This window comes from Homo sapiens, chromosome 12 (genome assembly GCF_000001405.40).
Source record: "Homo sapiens chromosome 12, GRCh38.p14 Primary Assembly".
In the NCBI taxonomy this organism is placed as follows: Eukaryota; Metazoa; Chordata; class Mammalia; order Primates; family Hominidae; genus Homo; species Homo sapiens.
This window is the reverse complement of record NC_000012.12, coordinates 93,603,740-93,630,046: the sequence shown is the minus strand read 5'-3', so window position 1 is coordinate 93,630,046 and position 26,307 is coordinate 93,603,740. Positions and strand designations below refer to the sequence as shown.

The 26,307-nt window shown below is 41.6% G+C and overlaps 1 protein-coding gene across 1 annotated transcript in view, besides 1 other annotated feature; it reads right to left on the bottom strand.

Annotated features, from left to right (window-relative positions):
- Positions 1-3,810: 3,810 nt before the first annotated feature.
- SOCS2 (suppressor of cytokine signaling 2) overlaps positions 3,811-26,307 on the bottom strand; it is a 56,268-nt gene continuing 33,771 nt past the window's right edge. Inside the window, exon 3 of the mRNA XM_011538935.2 lies at positions 3,811-3,873. Within this exon, the coding sequence (XP_011537237.1) occupies positions 3,826-3,873 (48 nt within the window). The 3' untranslated portion in view covers positions 3,811-3,825. The remainder of the gene's footprint in view (positions 3,874-26,307) is intronic.
- Positions 4,294-5,493: an enhancer, noted in NCBI's record as "P300/CBP strongly-dependent group 1 enhancer chr12:94018330-94019529 (GRCh37/hg19 assembly coordinates)". NCBI's record gives its function as "activates an origin of replication core promoter dependent on BRD2, BRD4, P300/CBP, MED14 and CDK7 cofactors, with strong dependence on P300/CBP, by STARR-seq in HCT116 cells {active_cell/tissue: HCT116}" and the evidence as "EXISTENCE:reporter gene assay evidence [ECO:0000049][PMID:35650434]".

Sequence of the window (26,307 nt, the reverse complement as noted above, 5' to 3'; positions counted from 1 at the left end):
GATGCCCCATTCCTCTCCTCCCTCTCCCATCTAGTAGCCCCCTCATGTCTATTGTTCACGTCTTTATGTCCATGTGTACTCAATGTTTAGCCCTCACTTATAAATGAGAGCATGCAGCATTTGGTTTTCTGTTTCTGGGTGAATTTGCTTAAGATAATGGCTTCGGCTGGGCATGGTGGCTCATGCCTGTAATCCCAGCACTTTGGGAGGCCCAGGTGGGCAGATCACAAGGTCAAGAGTTCAAGACCAGCCTGACCAACAGGGTGAAACCCCATCTCTACTAAAAATATAAAAATTAGCCAGGAGTAGTGGTGCGTGCCTATAATCCCAGCTTCTCAGGAGGCTGAGGCAGGAGAACCACTTGAACCCGGGAGGTAGAGGTTGCAGAGCAGAGATGGCGCCATTGCACTCCAGCCTGGGTGACAGAGTGAGACTCCATCTCAAAAAAAAAGATAATCGCCTCCAGTTGCATTCATGCTGCAACAAAGGGCATGATTTCATTCTCTTTTTAATGGCTCTGTAGTATTCCATGGTGTATATATACCGTATTTGCTTTATCCAATAAAAGGTTTGAAATTATGCAAAGAATATTCTCTGACCACAATGGTATTAAATTAGAAATCCACAAATATGTGGAAATTAAACAACAGATTTTTAAATAACAAATGAATCAGAGAAAAAATCACAAAGGAAATTAGAAAATGTTTTGAGGCAAATGAAAATGAAAGCCCAACGTACAAAAGAAACTGAAAATGACCTAAATAAATGGAAATTGATTAAAAACTTAATATTGTTAGGCTAGCAATACTCCCCAGATTGATCCACAAATTCAATGTCATTCCTTTCAAAATCACAGCTGGCCTTTTTGCAGAAGTTGACAAGCTAATCTCAAAATTCATATGAAAATTCAACAGTCCCAAAAATAATCCAATCTTGAAATAGAAGAATGAAGTTGAGGATTCATACTTGCCAACTACAAAACTCACAAGAAAGCTACAATAATCAAGATAGTGTGGTATTGGCTCCAGGATAGACATATAGATCAACAGCATGTAATTCAGAGTTAGAAGTAAACCATACTTACAGTCAATTGATTTTTGACAAGAGTGTCAAAACAATTCAGTTGGGGGAGAATAATTTATCCAACAGATGGTACTGGAACAATTGGATAGCCTACTGAATAAAGTAGGACCCCTATCTCACACCATCTACAAAAATTAAATCAAACTAGATCAAAGACATCTTAAATGTATGAGCTAAAACTATAAAACTCTTAGAAGAAAAGATAGGTGAAACTCTCAGAAAAGATAGGTGAAATCTTTCTGACTTTCAGTTAAGCAATGGCTTCTTAGATCTAACATGAAAAGCACAGCAACAAAAGGAAAAATAGATACACTGAACTTCACCAAAATTAAAAACTTCTGTGCTTCAAAGTACACCATCAAGAAAGTGGAAAGACAGCCAGCCCGCAGAATAAGAGATAATATTTACAAATCACATATCTTATAAAGGAATTGTAACTACAATGTATAAAGAATGCCTACAACTCAATAATTTAAAAGACTAATAACCCAACTAAAAATTGCCAAGGACTTGAATGATCTTCCCAGGAAGATACATAAATGGCCAATAAATACATGGAAAGATACTTAACATAATTGTCTATCAAGAAAATGCAAATCAAAGCCACAATGAGATGCCACATAAAAAAGATAGCTAATAATAAGTGCGGACAAGGATGTGGAGAATCTAGAATAACACTGGTACACTGTTAATGGGAATGTAAAATGGTGCAGCATCTTTGAAAGAAAAAAGTCTAGAAGTTTCCCCAAAAGGTTAAACATAGAGTTACCATTTGACCCAGAAATTCTATTCCTAGGCATGTACTTAAGAGAAAAACAAACACATATGTCCATATAAAAACTTGTACACAAATCTTCATAGCAGCATTATACACAATAGCCAAAAAGGTAGAAACAACCCAAATGTCCATCAACTGATGACCATATAAATAAAATGTGGTATATTAATGCCATGGAATACTATTGGCCATAAAAAGGAATGAAGTGCTAACTAATACATCCTATAATATGAATGAAACTTGAAAATATTATTCTAAGTGAAAGAAGCCAGATACGAAAGGCTGTGTATTGTATGGTTTCATTTATTATGAAATGTCCAGAATAGGCAAATCTTTAGAGGCAAAAATAGGTAAGTGATTGCCTAGGGATGGGAGGAGGTTAGAGTTAGAGGGAAATCGAATGACTCCTAATGGATATGAGGTTACTTCTTGGGGTGATGAAAATGTTATAAAACTTATTATTATGGTTATACAAGTCTATGAAATACTAAAAATCATTGAATTGTATACTTTAAATGGGTGACTTGTATGGTATGTAAAGTATATCTCAATAAAGCTGTTATTTTAAAAATATAGAAAAAAATCTACAGAGAAAATTATTGAATAATAATTAACTTTGGTTAATTACCATTAACCAGAGATTACAGATGGTTTTTAGTTCTTCTTTGTATAGTTCTGCATTTCCTAAATTCTCTATTACCATATAATGTTATGTTATCAGAGAGTTATAAATATTTCAAAATAATTATTTACTCATTCAACAAATACTTTGTAAACACTTTCCAGGAGATAAGCACTGAGATTCAGAAAATAATGTAAGTCCCTCCTTGTGTTAGGCCATTCTCGCATTACTATAAAGGAATACCTGAGACTGGGTAATTTATAAAGAAATGAGGTTTAGTTGGCTCACAGTTCTGCAGGCTGTACAGGAATCATAGTGCCAGCATCAGCTTCAGGGGAGGCCTCAAGAAGCCTACAATCATGGTGGAAAGCAAAGGGGAATAGGCATCTCACAAGGCGGGAGGAGGAGCAAGACTGGGGAGGTGCCACACATTTATAAATGACCTGATCTTGTGAGAACTCACTATCACCAGTGCAGCCGCAAACCATGAGGGATCCACCCCATGACCCAAACACCTCCCACCAGACCTCATCTCCAACATTGGAGATTACCATTCAACATGAGATTTGGTGGGGACATATATTCAAACTATATCAACAAGCATGGCACCAACATCTGCTCAGCTTCTAGTGAGGGCCTCAGGAAGCTTACAGTCATGATGGAAGGTCAAGTGGGAGCAAGGTGAGGGTGTTGTGCCACACTTTTTTAAACAACCAGACCCTGTGTGAACTCAGAATAAGAACTTACTTATCACCAAGAAGATGTGCTAACCGCTTAATGAAGGATACGCCCTCATGATCCAATTGCCTCCCATCAGGCCCCACCTCCAACATTGGGAATCACATTTCAACATGAGATTTGGAGGGGATAAACATCCAAACCATATCACTCCTCTCATAAACCTCAAAAAGTAAGGCAGATGACATGAAGGTTTAGAGAGTGCTGTAACACAGTTGCATACAAGGTACAGTGGTGGATGAAAAGTTCTGGTGCTATTTGGAAAGGTAAGAAGGCTGTAGGGGGGTTAAAACAAAAAAAGCTTGAGTTGAGTCTTGAAGGATACGTAGGGGTTCTCCAGGTGGATGAGGTGGAGAAGGGCATTCTGGGAAGAGAACAGTATGTTCAGAGGCTCTGATGTAAAGTATCCTGACCTGCTTGGTAATTGTGTGATTCGTTAGGTATGTCTGGATTTTAAAGCCTGTTGGGAGGTTGCAGTGGGGGTAGAGGGAGGCCAGCAAGATAAGGCTAGTAGGGTGAGCTGTGCTAAGGGGGGAGGACTGAGCACATTCAGCAAAGGTAGCGTTCTATTGCATTTATGGCTGCATTCAGCAGAGACCAGACATTACCTTAAGAAGCCTTCAAGGAGTACATTGTTAAGAGAGAACGGCATCTGTGGGATAAATAGAAAGAGGCTCATTTTACTTTAACTACACCCCAGAAAGATCTAAGCAATGATCTCAGGCTGGAAAGAACCAAACCTTTGGCAGAACCGTCTAAAACCCAGGCGCTGAGGATTTGCCGTGGTGTCCACCTTGGGTCCCAATTGCTTCTGTTGTTGCTTTTATCAGGCCTTTTTCTCATGGTTACTGAGCACCCAGTATTTGCAGGCCTGCTTTAAAATAACAAGATAGAGTATCACCACTACCTCAGTTAGTCTCATTATTGAGGGATTTCAGATACAGGGTTCTGACGCAGAGCAACTGAAGGTAGCAAAGCAAACAACACAATGTGCTAAGAGAGCAGTTTCCCTTTTACAAAATAGTAATGATATGGAATTATTTTCACCAAGTAATTCTCTTTTTTTTTTTTTTTTTTTTTGAGATGGTCTCACCCTGTTGCCCAGGCTGGAGTGCAGTGGCGTGATCTCAGCTCATTGCAACCTCCGCCTCCCAGGTTCAAGCAATTCTCCTGCCTCAGCCTCCCGAGTAGCTAAGATTACAGGCACGTGCCACCACACCCAGCTAATTTTTGTGTTTTTAGTAGAGACTGGGTTTCACCATGTTGGCCAGGCTGGTCTCAAACTCCTGACCTCTGGTGATCCACTCGCCTGGGCCTCCCAAAGTGCTGAGATTACAAATGTGAGCCACCGCGCCCGGCCCTCAATAAATTCGTAAGCTTTGAAGGGCTGAATCCTGAGTTTGACAATTTTGGCTAAACCTGGGACTTGGTTAAAGACTAAGTAACTGTACCTTTATTTCAATTGCATGAACTAGAAAACTACAAAACAAGTGAAGACATGCACTGAGAAAGTGGAGTATACTATGACGGTAAATAGAAACTTTTTTTAGCATTTTAATGACAGAGAGAGATTGTGTGTGTATGACACATCAACAACAAATAAATAAAAGAACTGGTGAGGATAGATGAGTCACTGAGAATGTTTAAAACTATTTGGCTCCCCCAGGAGATGACCAGATAGTCAGTGAATGATTCAGCATGGGAAATAACCAGTAAGAGCAAATGCGAATGCTAAAGGGATATGAAAGAAATCTCAGAGATGGGGAAAACACTGGGGTCTTCACTTGCCACTGAGAGTTTTAAAAAGATTATCTCAGGGGATTAGTAAAAGGCAGGGCTTCAACCTGCTTGTTCTAAAGGTAGCTCATAAGGTATAGTCGAGAAAGAACAGGAAGAAGCATTAGTCACTATATTTAGCTATTAACCCAAGAAGATTGTTTCCACAAAGAAACCTCTTGTTAGGTCTTGTTTTAGGGTTCTATCTTTAGTATGAAATCAGAAACAACTTTGCCCACACAGTGGCATACTGTGTACTTCTACTTATTTTACCCTGCCCCCAACTTAATGGGAGCAACTTAATGGGTTCCAGCAATTTCTGATGCCTGCAGCATTCATGTATCACACTCTGTTCTGCTCTTATAAAACAGTGCCTTCCAGAGTGACTTGGGTGATGAGTATTGTCTTAGTCTGTTTGTGCTGCTATAACAAAACACCTAAGAACTGGTAATTAACACATAATAGATTTTTTTTTTTTTTTAGATGGAGTCTCTCTCTGTTGCCAGGCTGAGTGCAGTGGTGCAATCTCGGCTCACTACAACCTCCGCCTCCCGGATTCAAGTGATTCTCCTGCCTCAGCCTCCCTAGTAGCTGGGACTACAGGTGCCTGCCACCACACCTGGCTAATTTTTTGTATTTTAAGTAGAGACAAGGTTTCACCATGTTGGTCAGGATGATCTCAATCTCTTGACCTCGTGATCCACCCGCCTTGGCCTCCCAGAGTGCTGGGATTACAGGCGTGAGCCACTGCGCTTGGCCAGAAATGTATTTTTCATAGTTCTGGAAGCTGGGAAGTCCAAAGTCAAAGCGCTGGCAGGTTTCGTGTCTGGTGAGGGCCTAGTCTTTGCTTTCAAGATGGCACCTTGACCTCTGTGTCCTCATGTGGTGGAAGGGATGGAAGGATAACAAGGGACAAACACTAGTTTCCTCCAGACCTTTTACAAGGCGGCTAATCCCATTCATGAGGCTTTCACTCTCATGACTTAATTACCTCCTAAAGACCCCACCTATTAATATTCGTGATTAAGACCAGGCGCAGTGGCTCAGGCTGGGTGGGGTGGCTCACACCTGTAATCCCAGCACTTTGGGAGGCTGACGTGGGTGATCACCTGAGGTCAGGAGTTCAAGACCAGCCGGGCCAACAAGACAAAACCCTGTCTTTACTAAAAATACAAAAATTAGCTGGACATGGTGGTGTGTGCCTGTAATCCCAGCTATTTGGGAGGCTGAGGCAGGAGAATCGCTTGAGCTCGGGAGGCGGAGGTTGCAGTGAGCTGAGATCGCGATTGCACTCCTGCGTGGGCAGCAGAGCGAGACCCTGTCTCAAAAAAAAAAAAATTCATGATTAAATGTCAACTTGTGAATTTTAGAGGATGCATTTAGACCACAGCTAGTACCTAGAGGGTAGTGCCCATGTCTCTATACAGCATTTTAAATGGCATCTTACATGTTCACCCAGAGACACCATAAATATTGGTTGGTGCTTGTGTAAGTCCGTTTTCACACTGCTATAAAGAACTTCCCGGTGCAGCACACCAGCATGGCACATGTATACATATGTAACTAACCTGCACATTGTGCACATGTACCCTAAAACGTAAAGTATAATAATAATAAATTAAAAAATAATGATAATAAATAAATAAATAAAAAGAACTTCCCTGAGACTGGGTAATTTATAAAGGAAAGAGGTTTAATTGATTCACAGTTCCACATGGCTAGGGAGGCCTCAGGAAACTTATAATCATGGCTGCAGGTGAAGGGGAAGCAAGGCACGTCTTACATGGCAGCAGGAGAAAGGAGTGAGTGAGAGGAGGAAAACTTCTTGGCACTTAAACCATCAGATCTCGTGAGAACTCCCTCACTATCACGAGACCAGCCTGGGAGAAGCTGCCCCCATGATCCAATTGCTTCCCACCAGGCCCTTCCCTGACATTTGGGGGTTACAATTCGAGATGAGACTTGGGTGGGGACAAAGAGCCAAATGCTATCAGTGCTGCAGGTTATCCAGGCAAGAGTAAATATCCTTGTTGAATTTCAAACTCTAAACAGCAAAGTTATCATGCTACTTTGAACCTAAAATGGATTCCTTTTTTAAGAACTGAAAGTGATTTTTTTATTTTAAAAAATCCACCTAAACTAGTCATGGCTCAAACCTTCCATAAGTTTATAGGGCTGAATCCTGAACTTGACATACAGATTCCATTATCCAGTTGCCCTCAGTTAGGTAAATAGGTGGAGGAAGCTGGGTGTGTGTGCTTGAGCGATTTCTGAGTGAGATGTGCCTGGCAGTCTTGGCCTGTTCACTACCCCTTGCCTCATCCCTCTTATAGGCACATCCTGCCTTCCCACTTAAGGGCAGGAAGTGTGAGACCAGCTTTCCTAGGCTTTCTTCCAACCAGAGTATTGGCATAGAAGCCAGTCTTGGCCAATTGTGAGCTCAGGAGACACTCAGCTAGGGTTTTTTTGTTTTGTTTTAAAGGTTTCCTTTATAAGGAAAAGAGACCAGTAAAAAGACATCTCTTCTTCACTGGTCGTGTATCTGCATGTGACATGTGTGAGCCTTTGGAGGCATCAGTAGGTATGAGTGCAGCATCATAGCTGACATGCCAATGATGTCAGAGAGGACAGGTGGAAGACATTAACAGTAAAGGAGCAAGAGTCTCCGACAACACTTTTGTGCCTCTGTATGAAACCTGGAACTACCCTACCTCAGACCTCTTAATTGAGATATAAATTCTTAGTTGAAGCGACTATTAGTTGGGTCTTCTATCACTCACCACTGACATCATCCCCACAGAATCAGGGCACACTACCAAGGTGCATTCCTTATCTAAAGAAATCAGCAGCCCTCAGCTCCTGTGGGTTGCTGTCAGATAAGGATTTTACAAGAAGAGCCAGAAATCAAGATTTTTGTATAAAACTCCAGAGTTTTAAATGTTGGCTCAAACTAAAGAAAATTGTGCAGGCCAAACAAAACATATCTGCAGGCCAAGTTCAACCTACAGGCTGACAATTTTCAGCCTCAATCTAAGTAAGAGTTGTTGTAAGAACTAAATTAAATGAGTTTAAAATAAGATCAGTAATAATAATAGCAAGTACTCACATCACACTTAATATGTGTCAGGCACTATTCTGCTCGCTTCACCACTTTGGTGTTCATATGTTAACTGATTTAAGTCTCAGAACAACCTTATGAGGGAGGTGTAATTACTACCTCTATGTTACAGATAAAGAAAGTAAGGATAAGAGGTGTTAAGTAGGCTGGGCATGGCAGCTCATGCTTATAGTCCTAGCACTCACTTTGGAAGGCCAAGGTGGGAGGATTGCTTGAGGCCAGGGGTTCAAGACCAGCCTGAACAGCATAGTGAGACTCCATCTCTACAAAAAAAAAATTTTTTTTTAATTAGCTGGGCATGATGGTGTGTGCTTGTGGTCCCAGGTACTGGGGAGACTAAGGCAGGAGGATCTCTTAAGCCTGACCGTTCGAGGCTGCAGTGAGCTATGATTGTTCCACTGTGCCTGGGTGATAGAGTGAGACTCTGTCTCAAAAAAAGGAGAGAGAGAAGTTAAGTAACCTTGTTCTGGTCATACAGTCATGAAGAAGTGGGGCAGGGATTTGAACCTAGACCCAGGCAATCTGGATTCAGATTTCACCTCTCTTAATCAATGCATTATGCTTGCAGTACAAGCTTCTGATCCATGATAGACAGTCTGTGTAATTTCCCTTCCCAACATCCCCTCAGGTGCTTTGAGGCAACTTCAGAAACAGAACTGGGGATTTTCTGATGCTAAAGAAAGACAGTTTGGTATTTTAAATACTAACAAAAGTTGTCATTTCAATTAGGTATCTCAAAAACTACTGTGATGTCTAGATAGGTGATCAGTATAATGATACATGGAATCTATATAGTCTTGACTAGGAGTTGGAACAGTCACGAGGACGTATATGCTCAGCTCTTGGTCGCCAAAGGACAAGAGTTGCACTGAAGATGGTGAAATGTTACATCTTCAGAGAAGACCACCAACCTCCCATCATGACTGCAGCTCTCCTCACCTGGGCTCCCAAGTAGTGCAGACTTGGATAGATGGATATGGCTGGACGAATGGATAGATGAATGAGTGGGCTTCCCAAAGGTATCCATCTATCTGCATATACCAGGAGACACTGTTATTTTGACTCTTCCATTACAAGATGAATTACAAAATAGAGTGTCAAAGTTAAACTTATCTGGTGTAGTTAACAATTGTAGTGTTTAATCAAATCTTCACTAAGCATTCCCTAAAAAAGAGCTTAGTGAAGGAAATTGATTCCATAGGAATAAATGTCGCTCCAGGCCAGGCATGGTGGCTCATGCCTGTAATCCCAGCACTTTGGGAGACTGAGGCGGGTGGATCACCTGAGGTCAGGAGTTTGAGACCAGCCTGGCCAACATGGCAAAACCCTGACTCTACTAAAATACAAAAATTAGCCAGGCATGGTGGTGCATGCCTGTAATCCCAGCTACTGGGGGGCTGAGGCAGGAGGATTGCTTGAACCTGGCAGGTGGAGGTTGCAGTGAGTCGAGATCGTGCCACTGCACTCCAGCCTGGGGCAACACAGCAAGACTCCATCTCAAAAAAAAAAGAGAAAAAAAGAAAAGAAATGTAGCTCCAAACTCTTCAGGACAACATTGATATTGAGGCGATGGGGGATGCCATCCACCCGAATGTCCACAATAGAAAATGATTTAAATTTTGGTACAGCCATAGAATTGACTATTAGACTACCATCAAAACATTGTTTACAAATTATGTGTAATAAAAAATACTTATGATCCAATATTAAATGAGAAAATGATACAAGTTGTTTATACAGTATATGTAAAAATGTATCATTTAAGTGATTTTTTTTCTTAAACAAAAAAAGACATTGAAAATGAGTTATATAAGACAGGTAAGTAAACCAGCAAATATTTATTGATTACCTGCAATAAGGATACAAAGTAATAGACAAAAGAAAACACAAAAATTTCCAATTCCAAGATATTTCAATATAGTTGAGGAGATGAGAAGCTCTCAAATAATTAGATTATGAAGAAATAGATGGCAATTGAAACGTGAAGATATATAACAGTTGCTATAATATCCAGAAGAGAGAAAGATTACCTTTGGCTGTGGTGATCCAGGGCAGGCTGTGAAGAGGAGGAGCATGAGCTGAACCAGAAGTTAACTGGGATTTAGGCAGGCTATAGAGCATTCCAGGCAGGAATGGGAGGGATGCAGGTTCCAGGCTGATGCAAGTATGGAAACATGCAATATATGTTTAGTGTAATGCAAGGGAAAAACACTTGGAACCTCAGTTGGAATCCTGGCTCCATGATTTCTCTTTAATAGGGTATGGTAACCTCTAAGGTCTCAGGATCATCAGCCATATACAGGGACAGTAAGGTATCTCATAGGATTCCTGTGTGGATTAAACAAGATTATTTATATATGATGCCCACATGGCACCCACTAGGAGCTTCCTAAATGTTAATTCCTGTGGATATCCCTTTGTCTTTCTCTTCAGCTTTCTTTGTTGTTCATTTATTCATTCATTCGATCAACCATTCATTTAATCAGCATGTGGGAGCACCTATGTAGCAAGCAATGTAGGGTTGGCTAGGCTCTGTTTGCTCCGATCCTGCCCTGTGCCCCACCCTTCCTGCCCTGTTCTGGGGCCCCAGAGTCTGACCCCTATGGACTGTGTAAGGCTCTCTTGCTCTCTGGCTTCCAGTTGGGCTTGGCCAGGAAATAATGGCAGGAAATCTGAAGGTGGGAGGAGGAAGAAGCGGGGCAACTTACCCAGTCACCGCTTGTCCCCTGCGTTGCCATGGCTGTGGTGGGTAGCTCCTCTCCCATAGCCTCCGCTCTTACCATCTCCAAACACAGCTCTGCACTCTTGCCCCTTCAGTTCTACCGGTGGGGATAGCTTTCCACAGTGGTAGGCCCTGGGTGCCGCATCATGTGTTCTCTTAACCCTGCCCACGTTTCTGTACCTGGTTCCTTTCTCAAATTCCCTTCAGTTAAACTCCTTTAAGAATGCCATCTCACTGGGTGTGCTGGTGTGTGCCTGCAGGCCCAGCTACTCTAGAGGCTGAGTGGGAGGATCACTTTAGCCCAGGAGTTCAAGTACAACCTGGGCAACATAGTGAGACGCCTTGCTGGTACCCTGACTGATACAAACCATAAACAAGGTAGACAACATCCTTGCCCTTATGGGGCTTATGTTCTGGTAAACAACCATATTAACATAATAGCTTTGGATACAGTGAAGAAAATAAAGTAAAGTAGTGAGACAATGACATAGAATGGCTGAGAGGGGCTACTCGAGGGAATGATATTTGAGCTGGGACCTAAGGAATCAGAGGGAGCCAGCAATCCAAAGATCTGGGAGACTTCTATTTTAGGCAGTAGAGGCATACATGTAAAAGCCCTAAGGCTAGGACAGGCATGTGGTGTTGGGAGAATGAAAAGAGGCCAGTGGGGCTGAGACTGGTGAGCTGGGGAAGGGTGGTGGGCAGCTGGTCAGAGAGGCAGGTGGGGACTGGTCAAGGATGGACACAGTGAGCCATGGAGAAGGATTTGGACTTTAAGAGTGTCAGGAAGTCTTCGAAGGGCTTGGGTGGGAGGCCTGGGGGAAAGGAGAGTAATTTGAGCCATATTTAAAAACTATCATCTTCTGATTTTCTACTGGGTTGGTGTCTTAGTGCATTCTCACACTGCTATAAAGAAAAATACCTGAGACTGGGTAATTTATAAAGAAAAGAGGTTTCATTGGCTCACAGTCCTGCAGGCTGTACAGGAAGCATGGTGGCATCAGCTTCTGGGGAGGCCTCAGGAAACTTACAATCATGGCGGAAGGCAAAGGGTAAGCAGGCACATCTTACATGGCCAGAGCAGGCGGAAGAGAGAGTGGGAGGTGCCACACACTTTGAACAACCAGATCTCATGAGAACTCTATCACAACATCAGCACTAGGGGGTTAGTGCTAAATCATTCATGAGAAACTGCCCCCATGATCCAATCATCTTCCACCAGATCCCATTTCCAACACTGGGGATTATAATTTGACGTGAGATTTGGGTGGGGACACAGATCCAGACCATATCAGTAGACAAAGGATTACACATCAGGCAAGAGTGGAGGGTACTGCTCCTGTCCAGGCCGGAGTTACTAGTGGCATGATCTAGAGTGATGGCAGTGGAAGTGGAGAGATGTAAATGGATTTGAGGTCAACTTGCACTGTGATTCTGAACTATAACAATACTTCAGTCTTTCCCAACCAGTATCCTAGGCTCCTGGAAGATTGTGAAAACTCTATTTTTTTTTTTTACATTTATATGTTCATTTTGATTATTACATATTTTGAAGTAAATATAAATATGTGGAGTATCTGTATGGCCACTTTAGAGTGGAAGAGTATTATCACATAATTTCAGTGGCCCCATTTAATTTTATTTCTAAGACCTCCACAGTGCCAAATAATTGCCTACAATAACAGCATTTAACATACTGTGGTGTTTTTATTCAGACATAATATACTTAGAGGAAATACAACATTCATAGGTGCATAGTTCAATAAATTTTCACAAACTGAACATCTCCATAGAAGCAGCACAGTTTAGGAACTCAACATCACCAAGACTCCAGGAACCCCTCTCCTGTCCTCTCCAAGTCACTACTCCCACACCCTAGTTTAGTTTAGCTGGTTGTTGAAATTTATCAGTACCTGAGAAGAGGGGGAAATCAGGAGAAAGCAGATTGCTAAAAATCCCACCCTGGGATGTGGTTAGTATGGGATTCCCACCAGGAACAGGCCCACAATTTCTGTTCCTGCTTATTGCACCTGGTAATGAAGAACTGATCTCAGAGGCTTGCAACCAGGTTATCCCCAAAGCATAAGACAGTCTGCTTAGCATATCACAGTGATATAATTGTTTGCCTGATCCCCATCAATGGACACGGCCCAGCACAGCCACCTCGGTAGTACTGGGTTTGCATAATGTTTGTTGATTAAGGCTGTGACTCTTCTGTAGCCTTGTATATTCCCATGCCTTAGGTGAGTCATGAGAGGTTAACAATAAAACAGTGATGCCTTGACTTTTGGTTTTGCCAGGTCCAGACCAAAAGGTTTTTTCATTAATCGAGAAGAAACATCCAGCTGAATCAGCTTCTAGTCACATGTACTTCCCCATCTCCTGCCCGCCAATTCTTATTCATTAGACTGCCAGGGTTAAAACAGGGAAGCAGCCAAAGTTTGTTTTGATGTAACCCTTTCATTACCCCATGGCCTCATGCCTCCCACTTGTCCCCGGAGCACGTCACTGGATGCACACATACCCCCGCCCATTGAAATGCAGCCCATTGTCTCCCATTCCTGCCTAATTCTGCTCTCTGTTATGTGACAGTGGGTGGTATTGGGTTAATCAGAGGAATGCCCGATGTGGTTTGGTGGAAAGAGGACAGCATTTGAAAGTTAAGAAGCCTGCTTCTAGGTCTAATGTTGAATTCTTTAGGCTAACTAGTGGAAAGTGACAGAAACTTGACTGAGCAAGAAATAAACAGAAACCCCAGTAATTAATTAGCTCCTACAGAGATCAGAGGTCAGGCATGGTTGTATCAGGGTCTCCAATGATGTCATTATGAGAGACCTCAGTGCCAAACCAAGAAAACTGGATTTCATTCTCTCCATCTCTTGGTACTGCTTCCCTTGGCTGTCTGCCTCTGGTGACAAGATGGCTGTCTACAGTCTCAAGCTTGAATCTCATCCTCTCAGCAACCCCAATGGAGCACATAAACTTCTCTTTCCAATGTCCTGAAATCATGTCTCACTGGCTTTGATTGGCCTTCTGGGAACATAAGTCCTGGTGCTCTGATTGAAGAGGCCTAGTTCTCATGCTCATCCTGGATTTGGGAGTAAAGTCAGCACCAGCCAAAATGCTAGGACCAAGAGTGGGAAGGGCTGATTCCCCACAGGGCCTGAGGCAGGCTAAAGCAATGGATATCTTCCTTAGCCATGAATTAATCATGAGAGCTTGGACAAATCTTTCCACCTCTGAGCCTGGTTTATCTGTAAAATAAGAGGGATGGATCCTGTAACCTCTAAGGTCCTTTCTACTTTCACACTCTAGGCCAGGCTCAGTGGCTTACACCTGTAATCCCAACACTTTGGGAGGCCGAGGCGGGAGGATCACTTGAAGGCAGGAGTTTGAGACCAGCCTGGTCAACATGGTGAAACCCTGTCTCTACTAAAAATACAAAAATTAGCTGAACATGGTGGCTCATGCCTGTAATTCCAGCTACTTCAGAGGTTGAGGCATAAGAATCGCTTGAACCCAGGAGGTGGAGGTTGTAGTGAGATGACATGGTGCCACTGCACTCCAGCCTGGGTGACAGATCGAGACTCTGTCTCAAACAAAACAGAACAAATACTTTCACACTTTATAACTCCACCTAATATCCCTTGTAAATTATATGCTGTTTTCACTTCTCAGAGGAGAATACCTTAATCCAATTAAAATGAGGATCTGTAGTGACATAACTGCCTGTACAAGCCAATTGGGAGGGACAAGTTCCATGATAGACACAGGCCTTTTCTATCTACTCTGCAGGATCCCTGCCCAGGAATGTCACAGGAAAACAAGCCAGAGAGATTGGTGCCAGTGGAGAGAAACGGATGGAATCTGAAGCATCTATTCATTGATAAACTCAACCAACAATTATGATGTAATTCTTACATCTCAAGAGCTGTACTAGACTCTGGGAATGAACAATGAACCAAAAAAAGTCCTTGCTCTCTAAAACAACAGTCTTGAGGTGGGTGCAGACAAGTAGATCACTGATGAACAATTCAGAATGTCAAGCAAGGGCAGAGGCAGGATGATAAGGCAGCTCAGAAAAGGGGCACCTATCCCAGTGGGGGAGAGGGTTAAGGCATGAGGAGATAAGGAGAGATTCAGAGAAGTCATCCCAAAGAAGGAGATCCCAAACAGGGCCTGGAAAATTAAGTGGCAATGACAATTTCTCCCTAGGATCCTTTGCCGGCTGCTCAATGACCCTTATCAGTCTGTCTTTTTTTTTTTTTTTTAAATAGAAAATTGCTACATACAAGGCGCCGGGCGCTGTGGCTCATGCCTGTAATCCCAACACTTTGGGAGGCCGAGGCGGATGGATCACCTGAGGTCGGGAGTTCAAGACCAGCCTAGCCAACATGGTGAAACCCCATCCCTACTAAAATAGAAAGATTTGCCAGGCATGGTGGCAGGCGCCTGTAATGCCAGCTGCTCGGGGTCTGAGGCAGGAGAATCGCTTGAACCCAGGAGGCAGAGGTAGCAGTGGGCTGAGATCACACCACTGCACTCCAGCCTGGGCATTAGAGCCAGACTCCATCAAAAGAAAGAAAGAAAGAAAGAAAGAAAGAAAGAAAGAAAGAAAGAAAGAAAGAAAGAAAGAAAGAAAGAAAGAAAGAAAGAAAGAAAGAAAGAAGGAAGGAAGGAAGGAAGGAAGGAAGGAAGGAAGGAAGGAAGGAAGGAAGGAAGGAAGGAAAGGAAGGAAGGAAGGAAGGAAGGAAGGAAGGAAGGAAGGAAGGAAGGAAGGGAAAGAAAGGAAGAAAGAAAGAAAGAAAGAAAGAAAGAAAGAAAGAAAGAAAGAAAGAAAGAAAGAAGGAAAATTGCTATATACAAAGGAAATCTTGAATCCCTATACACCCAGAGTTGAGGGTAGGAGATTATTCCTAATGGTGTAAATTCTCAGAGCATCGTGTGTTTGGAGGAAAAACAAGGATATGTTTGAACACCAGGGCTGCCTTAGGCAGATGAGAAATAAGAAGTATTCATTGAGCTGTGACAATAACATCTACTTGATCAACCCAAAACCCTGGTTGAGAGAGCGAGTGGCTTCCAAGTCTGTCATGTATCAATGAATCAATGAAAAAAAAAAAATGGCTGGTTAACCTAGAAGTTTGACATTCTCAGTCCATTCCAAGTAAAGTGGATTCCTAATCATGTGGGCTAACAAGGACCTTTGCCAAACATCATGCAAAATGAGGAATAATTAAAAAACCTTTTATACTTGGCTTTGAAGTGTGTTCTATTCTTTTTTGGGAGGGTACCAGCTTTAAATTTCTTTTTATTTTTTTATTGCCTATTGACACGCTATAGTAGTATATGTTGATGGGGTACAAAGTGGTGTTATGATTTTGACTACAGTGTGGAGTGATTAAATTAAGCTAATTAATATATTATTGCCACCAATATTTAACATTTTTGTGATGAGAACATTAGAAAGTTACTTTCTTAACCAATATTGAAAGCCAGAGTACTCAATTGTTAACTATATTCAGCATGCTGTTCCGTTTCACTAAAAATTAAGTGGCAATGACAATTTCTCTTTAGAGTGTCACAATTCTTAAAGCTTGTTCACATCCGTTGTTTCATTTGAGCTTCTCAGTAGCCCGTCTCTGTGAGCTGGTTAACAAATGCCCACCTTCAGATAAAGAACTAAGGCTCGGAGACAGTATGCAGCTACTAAAGTGGTAGAACTAGGTCTCAAACTCAAGTCTTCTAGCTTGAATCTGTTTTTTTGCTTGTTTGTTTGTTTTTGTTTTTGGTTTTTTTTTCTGGGAGGGGCGGAAGGAGCAAAAAGAAAAAGAAAAAAAGGACCATAAAAACAAAAAACAGGGCTGCAGAAATAAAGCATTGACCGCAGTAGGCTGTACATGAGGATGAGAAATTACTAACGAAGAGGCTATTTTTCATATGGACTGAAAATGTGAGTTCTCCCTTTTTTCTATTTATACAGAAGCTTTGTTGTTTTAAAAGGCTCTTTATTCTCATTCAAAAGGAGAAAATACCTTCGGAAAGCCATGCAATGAGCAGAGCCTTCAGATATTGGCTTCCTCTGTTCCTTGGCATTGCCCTTTCTTGCAGGGCTCCACACAGGCTCTGATAGAAAGAAGTGCCGGAGTTCCTGAATTGGCCTCTAAACTAATTTAGCTGTTTTCCGTCTTTGTCTCTCAGCCACTTTCCTTGGGCTTCCTCCTCACTCCTTAGCTACAGCTAAGAGCTATTGCTAGGCAGAGATTTTACAAAAGGGAGGGGTAGGAGAAAAAGGGGCTGTAAAAGGGAAAAGGGAAGGAAATGAAGAGGAGTAAAATAGATCCCTGGGCAGAAACCCAAGAAATTCCCGTGTAGGGGTTACATTGCCTTTAAAGAAAGGAGAAGGGTGGGGCATAAAACAGAAATTACCAATGATACTACCACCATTGATTCATTGATTCATTTGTTCATTCATTTCACAGCTATCTGCTGACATCCTCCTGGTGCCAGGGACTATGATAGACTGAGAATATACACAATTGGAAAAAAACAATACAATTCCTCCCTATGTTGGGAGTACCATGGCACAAGTTGGGTTCCCTAGGAAGATGATTCTGAGACAGAGATTAGAATGCATAGTTTGCTTTAGGGAGTACACTTAGGATTAACACCATGGAAAGAAGTGAAGATAGCAGGATTGAGCAGGGGACAATGCCAAAATATGAAACTGGTTCAAAGGAAGCCTGGGCCAGCCTCACAAGGAGTTGTAAATATGGAATGACCTTTCAGTGTTGTCCTCAGTGTAGAGGAGGAAGACAGCCATGAAGTAATCACAGAAAAAAAAAAAGTACAATGGCACTGTGATTGGTGCTCCAAAGGACAGGTGCATGATACCATGGAAAAGTACCATGGAGGAATCAACCTAGACTGCAGGAGAGGTTGAATTTCAGGCAGGGGGAGTATTCATGGAAAGGCAGTGGGTTGGGAGGAAGTGTGAAGGGAAATGGACAGATCAGAGAAATTTTTTTAGTGCAAAATGGGCAGGTCTCATGTTTAGCAGTTTAGATACATCCTTTTATTTTGCTTCCAACCCCATGAAGTAGGTGTTGCTCACAGGGTCGTTCTAGCATCTCCTGGAATCAAAGAACAACATTCCCTGGAGCTACATGGAAAAGCTCCAATCCCAGAAATGACAAGGCCTGACTGAGAATTCAATCAAAAGTATAACCAGTAGATGGGGGCTGATCAAACAAAAAAAGCAGTTCTCTGAGCAGAGGGAGGAGTTGTAAAGAAAACAGAGAAGCAAACCAACGGAGGCCTCCTTTGTGATAGATGAAAAAAAAAATCAATATAAACTGAATATCAAAGGAAGTCTTACCAAATGTACACATAATAGTACTGATTATTGAAACAATACAATAAAATATTAGATTTTGTTTATTTCTGCAATCATTTAGCAATTCTGCATTTTGGGGACTGCAGAAATTGGATAAATTGTGCTGAAACATAAAATCAGAATAAAATATGACTCCTGGGGCTGCCAATAATTACAGTGTAATGAAAGAGAATTTTTTAAATACATTTTTGGTAAGCAATTAGGTGCTTTGGTTGCTATAGCTGATGGTGTGAAATTTGTTGAAATAATGCCGTCTGCAAAGCAAACATTGCTTCTTGGCCAGACGAGGTGGCTCATGCACATAATTCCAGCACTTTGGGAGGCCGAGGCAGGCGGATCACTTGAGGTCAGGAGTTAGAAACCAGCCTAGCCAACATGGTGAAACCCCGTCTCTACAAAAATACAAAAATTAGCCGGGCGTGGTGGCACACACCTGCAATCCCAGCTACTCAGGAGGCTAAGGCAGGAGAATCGCTTGAACCAAGGAGGTGGAGGTTGCAGTGAGCTGAGATCACACCACTGCACTCCAGCCTGGGTGGCAAAGTGAGACTCCGTCTCCTGTCTCAAAAAGAAAAAAAAATCATTTTTTGACAGTTCCTAATTAGAAAAGGGATATGTAAGCAAAATTTGCTCAGCAGAGGTCCCCACTTGAGTCTCTATGTGTCCACTGCAGATCTATGGTAATAACTGGCCAGAAGTTCATCTCCTGGCCAGTCTAGGCCAGGAAACTAGGGGGACTAGGACACCTCCTTGAAGATTTATAAAATGAGAGTTAAAACACCAGCCTCCTAGGGATGTAAGGAACCCTGTGGAGTTCTAAAAATTGAGCAATTCTCAACTTTTAGAAATAAAACACCAAGTATGGCCATTAGTATGATATTGTGAAAGTGTGTCTTAGTCCATTCCTATTGCTATTAAAAAAACACCTTAGACTGGGTGACTTAGAAACAACAGAAATTCATTGCTCATAGTTTCAGAGGCTGAGAAGTCCAAGATTAAGGATCTAGGAGATTCAGTGTCTGATGAGGGTCCATTCTCTGCTACAAAGATGGCACCTTATGGCCATGTTCTTACATGGTGGAAGGGCAGAAAACGGATGAACACTGTGTCTTCACATGGCAAAAGAGATGGCAGGGCAAAAACGGACTAGGGCACTCCCTTCTACCTCTTCTACGAGAGTACTGAGCCCATTCATGAACTGGAGTGCCCATGACTCAATCACTTTCCAAAAGGCCCTACTTCTTAATATTACCACATTGGGTATTAGGTTTCAACATATGGACTTTGGAGGAACACATGGATTCAAGTCATAGCACAATGTTACTCAAACTGTGGTCTCAGACACCCCTGCAGCACTTGGGAGCTTTGTCAGAAATACAAACTCACAGGCTCCCCTTCAGATCAGACCTGATGAATCAGAATCTCTAAAGGTGGGGGTCCAGGAAGTTGTGTTTGAACAAATCCTCCAGGCAGAGTGACCAACCATCCAGGTTAGCCCGGGACTGAGGGGTGTCCTGGGATGAGGGGCTTTTAGTGCTAAAACTGGAAAGTCCAGGGCAATCTGAGATGACTTGGTTGCCCTAGCTCCACATGATTCTTATGTGTGCTAAAGTCTGAGAACGACTGTTGTAACATATGTGTGGATATTTTACAATTAATATAATATGGTGGGTGCTATAGTTTGAACGTATTCCCTGAAGTTCATATGTTAAAAACTTAATCCTCAGTGCGACTGTGTTGGGAGATGGGACCTTTAAAAGGTGATTAGATCATGAGGGCTCTGCTCTCTTGAATGAATTAATGTCATTACCATGTCAATAGGCTTCTTCTAAAAGCAACTTCAGCCCCTTCTTGCTTTCTTGTTCTCTCTTGCCCTTCCACCTTCCACCATGGGATGATACTGCAAGAAGGCCCTCTCCAGATATCAGCACCTTGACATTGGACTTTCCAGCCTCCTAAACTGTGAGAAATAAATTTCTTTTCTTTATAAATGACCCTAGTTTGTGGTATTCTGTTGTAGCAACACAAAACAAACTAAGACAGTAGGCAACATGTTTGAAGATTCCACTGGAGATTTCCACAGATCCCTAGGGAACAGTCATAAATTACTGCTTTTAAGTAAACCAATATTTACTGATCATCCTTTACAGCTCAAGTGTTTGAATAGATGCTCTCTATTTTATCTCTGATCTTATTTATTCCCATAGTTACAAATTATTATTACCAAATAATAAAGGTAATAAATTAAAGTAAATAATAAGGTAATAAATTAAGATAAATAATTATTATTAAGGTAATATTTAAGTAAATCAATGTAATTAATTTATTATTAAGGTAATAAAAATTAATAAATTAATAAAATACTTTATCTAAATAAGTAAATTTTACAGTCTTTATTTATTTATTTACTTATTTATTTTTGAGATGGAGTTTCACTCTTGTTGCCCAGGCTGGAGTGTGATGGCACAGTCTTGGCTCACCCCAACCTCTGTCTCCCGGGTTCAAGCAATTCTCCTGCCTTAGCCTCCCGAGTAGCTGGGATTACAGGCACACACCACCACGTCCAAATAATGTTTGAATTTTTAGTAGAGACAGGGTTTTGCCATGTTGGTCAGGCAGGTCCCGAACTCCTGAACTCAGGTGATTTGCCTGCCTCGGCCTCCCGAAGTGCTGGGATTACAGGCATGAGCCACCGTACCTGGCCTATTTATTTTTAAATAGAGACAGGGTGTCACCATGTTGCCCAGGCTGGTCTTGAACTCCTGAACTCAAGTTATCTGCCCGCCTCAGCCTCCCAAAGTGCTGGAATTACAGGCATGAGCCAGCATGCTTGGCCTCTTACAGTGTTTATTAAGGTAAATACTTACCCCTGGAAAGTAGGTATTTTTATCCTCATCTAGAAAATTCAAATTTAGAGAACTTAGTGACCTGCTTAAAGGAACACCAATTAAGCTGAGTATTTTGGGGTTCAGGGATATAACTTTCCAGAGCCTGTGGTGGTTCCATTAAACTGATGTTGCACCGAGTGGGATGCATCCCATCAGGGAATGGGAGATGATTTAATGTGATATAGGAGGTGATTTTTAGAAGGTAGAAGGCATAGCAATAAATAAGACATCGCATTGTCAGAAATAATACCAAAAATTGCTAATACTTACATAGTTCAACATTGCTTATGTCATGTCTATATAGTGCTTACATCATGTTCTATAGTGCTGCATGTATATGAAGTATATGTATATGAACTATGTAATATCATCCTCAGTTTTACAGATGAGGAAACTGAGGCCCCAAGGTCACAGAGTTAGTAAGTGATGTCATCCTGAAAATAGAACCTAGATGAGCCATGACTCATCTAGCATGAAGAACAGGCTTCTCAGAGGTCCAGAACAGTGCTCTGTAGAGCCACATTAGAGCCAGGAGCAAAAGAAAAATGTGCCCTCCTATATACATTCATCAAAATATCCTTCTGTATTTTTAGCCAAGTGAGAAAAATTAATAAAAGCTTAACATTGCCAAGTATGGTGGTTCATGCCTGTAATCTCAACAGTTTGGGAGGCCAAGGTGGGAGAATCACTTGAGGACAGGAGTTCGAGACCAGCCTGGCCAATGTAACAAGACCCTGTCATTACCAAAAAAAAAACCAAAAAACAAAAAAAGGGCCAGGCATGTTGGCACATGGAGTTTGAGGAGTTTGAGGCAGGAGGATCACTTGAGCTCAGGAGATCAAGGCTGCAGCGAGTTATGATTGCACCACTGCATTCCAGCCTGGGTGATAAATGATGCCCTGTCTCAAAAAAAAAAAAAAAAAAAGATTTACAGTCAAAATCCATAACTACTAAAAACAAAATTTAGTTGACAGACTAATTTTCTTCCATAAAGTTGAGAATAAATTTTTTAGAAGCCGTAACTGTAATAAAGCCCCACATCATACAGTCTGTTCTCACAATTGTCAATCCTCATAAATCCACACAGTGAGGGGTATTCCAGGGGGCCAGGACCCTCAGGCTGACTGGAAATGACTGTTCCCATCACACGATGATGCAGAATGGTAAAACAAACAAATGACAGCGTATTTTTATTTAAAATATTGATATTTGCTCGTCATGAAGTTTCAACTATTGCATTAAAATAGTATTGATTTTGATTACAAAGGGTTTGGCATCCCTGTGAATTTTGCTTGGCACCCCTGTGAATTTTGCTGTCAGGAGTGAATGCCTCATTTGCCTCACCCTATTCCTTACTCCAGTATTGCACCATGCAATGACTTCAATTTTAACGTTTCCAAAGGCAGAGGGCTACAGCAGGTATCTTGTGTTCTTCTTCCTGGGGTGTATCCTTTTTATCTGGCATGACCTTGAAAAATGTCAAATGTGAACTCTCAGGAACCAGGTTCCCTTTTTAAGTTTTGTTTTCAGCACATGCCATCTCTTGGAAATTGTACTCTGAGTGGAAAAAAGGGATCACTCCCTTATCAAATTGTGTTTCATGGAAGATGCCAGTGGTTGGAGGATGTAGAAAAGCAAAAGCTGGTTTCAATGCTACTTTTTTCTCCTTCAAATAAAACCATTCCTAGAAAATCTGCCATCTTTTATTAATATGTAGGAGATAGTCTATGGTCTCAAGATAGGGCTCAGAAAAAGATGTTATAGAAAAAGAACACATATTTTATTAAAGGATGTCCTTATTTAAAAGATTTTGGGAGCACATATTCTAGCCTAACCAGAAGCCAGGTATAATCTGAATCAAACTATAGAATGATATTTCCCTGGTCTAGGTCCCCAGTTCTGATTAGGCAACACCCAAATGTACTACCCACTGCTAAATAAGTGTCACAGAATTCCTTGAACAAAATTAAATGGGTCGGTTGTGGTAGCTCACGCCTGTAAGGTCAGCATTTTGGGAGGCCAAGGCATGTGGATCACTTGAGGCCAGGAGTTCAAGACCAGCCTGACCAACATGGCAAAGCCCCATTTCTACTAAAAATACAAAAATTAGCTGGGTGTGGTGGTGGGCACCTATAGTCCCAGCTGCTCAGGAGGCTGAGGCAGGAGGATCACTTGAACCTGGGAGGCAGAGGTTGCAGTGAGCCAAGATTGCACCATTGCACTCCAGCCTGGGTGACAGAGCGAGACCCTGTCCCAAAAACAAAAACAATTAAATGTGTGCTTGTTTTCAACTCTAAAGAACACACCACAAAGTGCCTTGCTGGATAATTGTTTTAAAAGGTGTGATGAAATCAAGCAAACACTGATGAGGTATGGTAATCCCAAGGAGGCCAAGAACTCTCAGCCCTGATCCTAGTATTAGAGCTTCTCAGCAAACTAGATGCAAAAGCAAAAAGGAACAAAAATAAAGCCACACCTCAGCAGTTCCACAAAGTATTAACTGTGTGACCTACAGCATTTGACCTAGTCTTTTTCTGATGTGTTGAATGGGGTAACTTGGGCTTGACTCCTAGTGTCAGAAGGATTAATAGAAACTATCCACTTGTGGCACTTCTAGTGGCCCTCAATATCCATCTCTTCTCCTTCTACAGGAATAGAACCCCAATTTTTATGGCTGCCATCCATAGCTGTGCAGAACAAAGACCAAATTTCCCAGCTTTCCTTGCAGCCAGATGCACTCACATGATTAAATTCTGGCCAGTGAAATATAAACAACAACTAGATGTTGTAGTGGAGAGTCAAGAGCCATTTTGGGTCATGAGTAAAAGGGCGATACTCTAGGAAGAGCAGAGCAACAAGATAGGAGGAGCTTGGATCCTTGACCCACGTGGAACCATCATATCAGTCATGGACTACATATGTCCAGACTGTCATGTGAGTGAGAAATAAAATTCTATCTTGTTTAAGCTGCTGTTACTTTGGGTCTCTGTTCAGGCATATGAAACTATACCCTGTCTAATATCTGAAGTAAAGTACTTGGCAATGACAGACACATTATAAAGAACTCAGTAAATATCAATTATGAAGATGATGGTGGAGGTTATGAATTCTGCCTCTACTGCCCCTCAGAAGAGTGTCAGACAGAATAAAATTAGGAAGGACACAATTTGAAGTACATTTCCTTTCCCTGCTCCCTTTCTTTTACATTTGTTTTTTCCCCATTACCTGACTCAAGTGATATTCATACCATAGAAATGCATGCAGGAGGCATCCACTTGTAGTCATTTCACATAATTCCTTTTTGTTAATTACAAATGTGCCTGATTGGCGGAGGAGGTGCATTTCTAAGGGACCAGTTTCTGCTTGAAGAGTCAAACTGTCTCACCATATGCTTTACACTGAAAATCTCCAGGGATCAACAACTATTAACATTTCCCATATTCACCTCAGATGACTTTTTTTAAAAATAAGGCTTCACAGGTATGGTTGAAGCCCCTGGCCTCATCCACCCAATTTCTGACAGGTAATGGCCCTTCAGGAGTGGTTAAGTATTTTCCCCATTGTGTATTTATGTCTTAAGAAGTATAAGTATCCATAAGCAATACATAGTAGACTTTGGGGTAATTTCTTATCTTATATACGTTAGTTATATAGTGTGTGTAACACTCGGCAACTTGCTCGTTTAAGAGAGCGATAAAGACAAGCCGCAACAACTATCCTTGTTAAATGTGGGTGGTGGTGGTGGCATTGGTAATTACTGTGCTCTGTGCTTTTTGTATATTTGAAATACATTATAAACACAATTTTAAATTAAAAGTAAGAAAATGTAAAAGCACTGAGAGCTGCTTTGACATATAACATTACAAGACTACTGGGGCAGGAGTGGGGAGTGGGCATGGCTGCTTATTTCCTAAAAATTTTACCCTATACATGTGAGCAATCAACTTAAAAAAAAAAAAAATCCAGGCCGGCACAGTGGCTGACACCTGTAATCCTAGCACTTTGCGGGGGCCAAGGCAGGAGGATCGCTTGAAACCAGGAGTTTGACACCAGCCTGGGCAACATAGTGGGACCCTGTCTCTACAAAAAAGAAAAAAATATCAGCCAGGTGTGGGGCCGTGCACCTGTATCCCAGCTACGATGGGGGCTGAGGAGGGAGGATCACTAGAGCCCGGGAGGTCAAAGCTACAGTGAGCTGTGATCGCACCACTACACTCCAGCTTGGGCGACAAAACGAAACCCTGTCTCAAAAAAACATAAATAAATAAAAGCAAAGAAAAAGAAAAAACCCAACATGCAAAAATTCTGAACTTGCTCATATGTTAATAGGTGACCAAACACTTTACGAATGTAAGTCTAACTTTCTAAAATACCCACCACAGTTTTTTTTCTTAAAACATTGAGTTTAGGTATATTTGGCAGGCATAACTGTGCCTATAAAATCATTCTTCTGACAAAACTACATTTTTATTGTAGTTTTTGTTGTTAATTTGAACAATAAAACTCAAGCATAAAAATATTAGATTAGGATAAAATGAATCATTTCTGCTTGGTCTGGGGAATAAAAATGCAGATTATTGGGTGTTAATTTTTTTAAATAGGCATTGCCCAATATTTCATTTATATATGGCTTATTCATGTAAGAATGTCGTCTGCTTTTCACATTCTTTCCACATCAGAGGATTAACAGTGAGAAAAACTATTTTTCTTGTTTTTTTTGTTTTGTTTTGTTTGTTTTTTTGAGAATCTATGAGTGCAGAAGAGTAGGAGCAAAGGATGTTTCAAAGCTTTTTTATACCCATATACCCAATGAGGACTCACCAGGAAGAGGCCAACACCGCAACGTTTTCCCTCTGAGAGCTGTCAAAATAGAAACAAGCATGTTGCCTCCATGTGGGTGTTCTGTGTACTTTTATTTGGCAACCAAACTATCATTTGTTGTTTTCCATATGCCATTTACATGAAGTCAATAGATTTAAGTCGGAAATCTTCCAGGTGCAGCTACTCTGATAATACATGCCAATCATCTCAGTAAACACAGGATCCTGAACTTGATTTTTCTGCTAAAGCAATCAGCCCAAGGAGCAGGCGGCCACATTTCTGGTTCCACCCTGGAGCTTGCTCATACTCTGATGGTTTTATTGGCCATTTTCAGACTACATTCCACACAACTGCTGCGTGCCCTT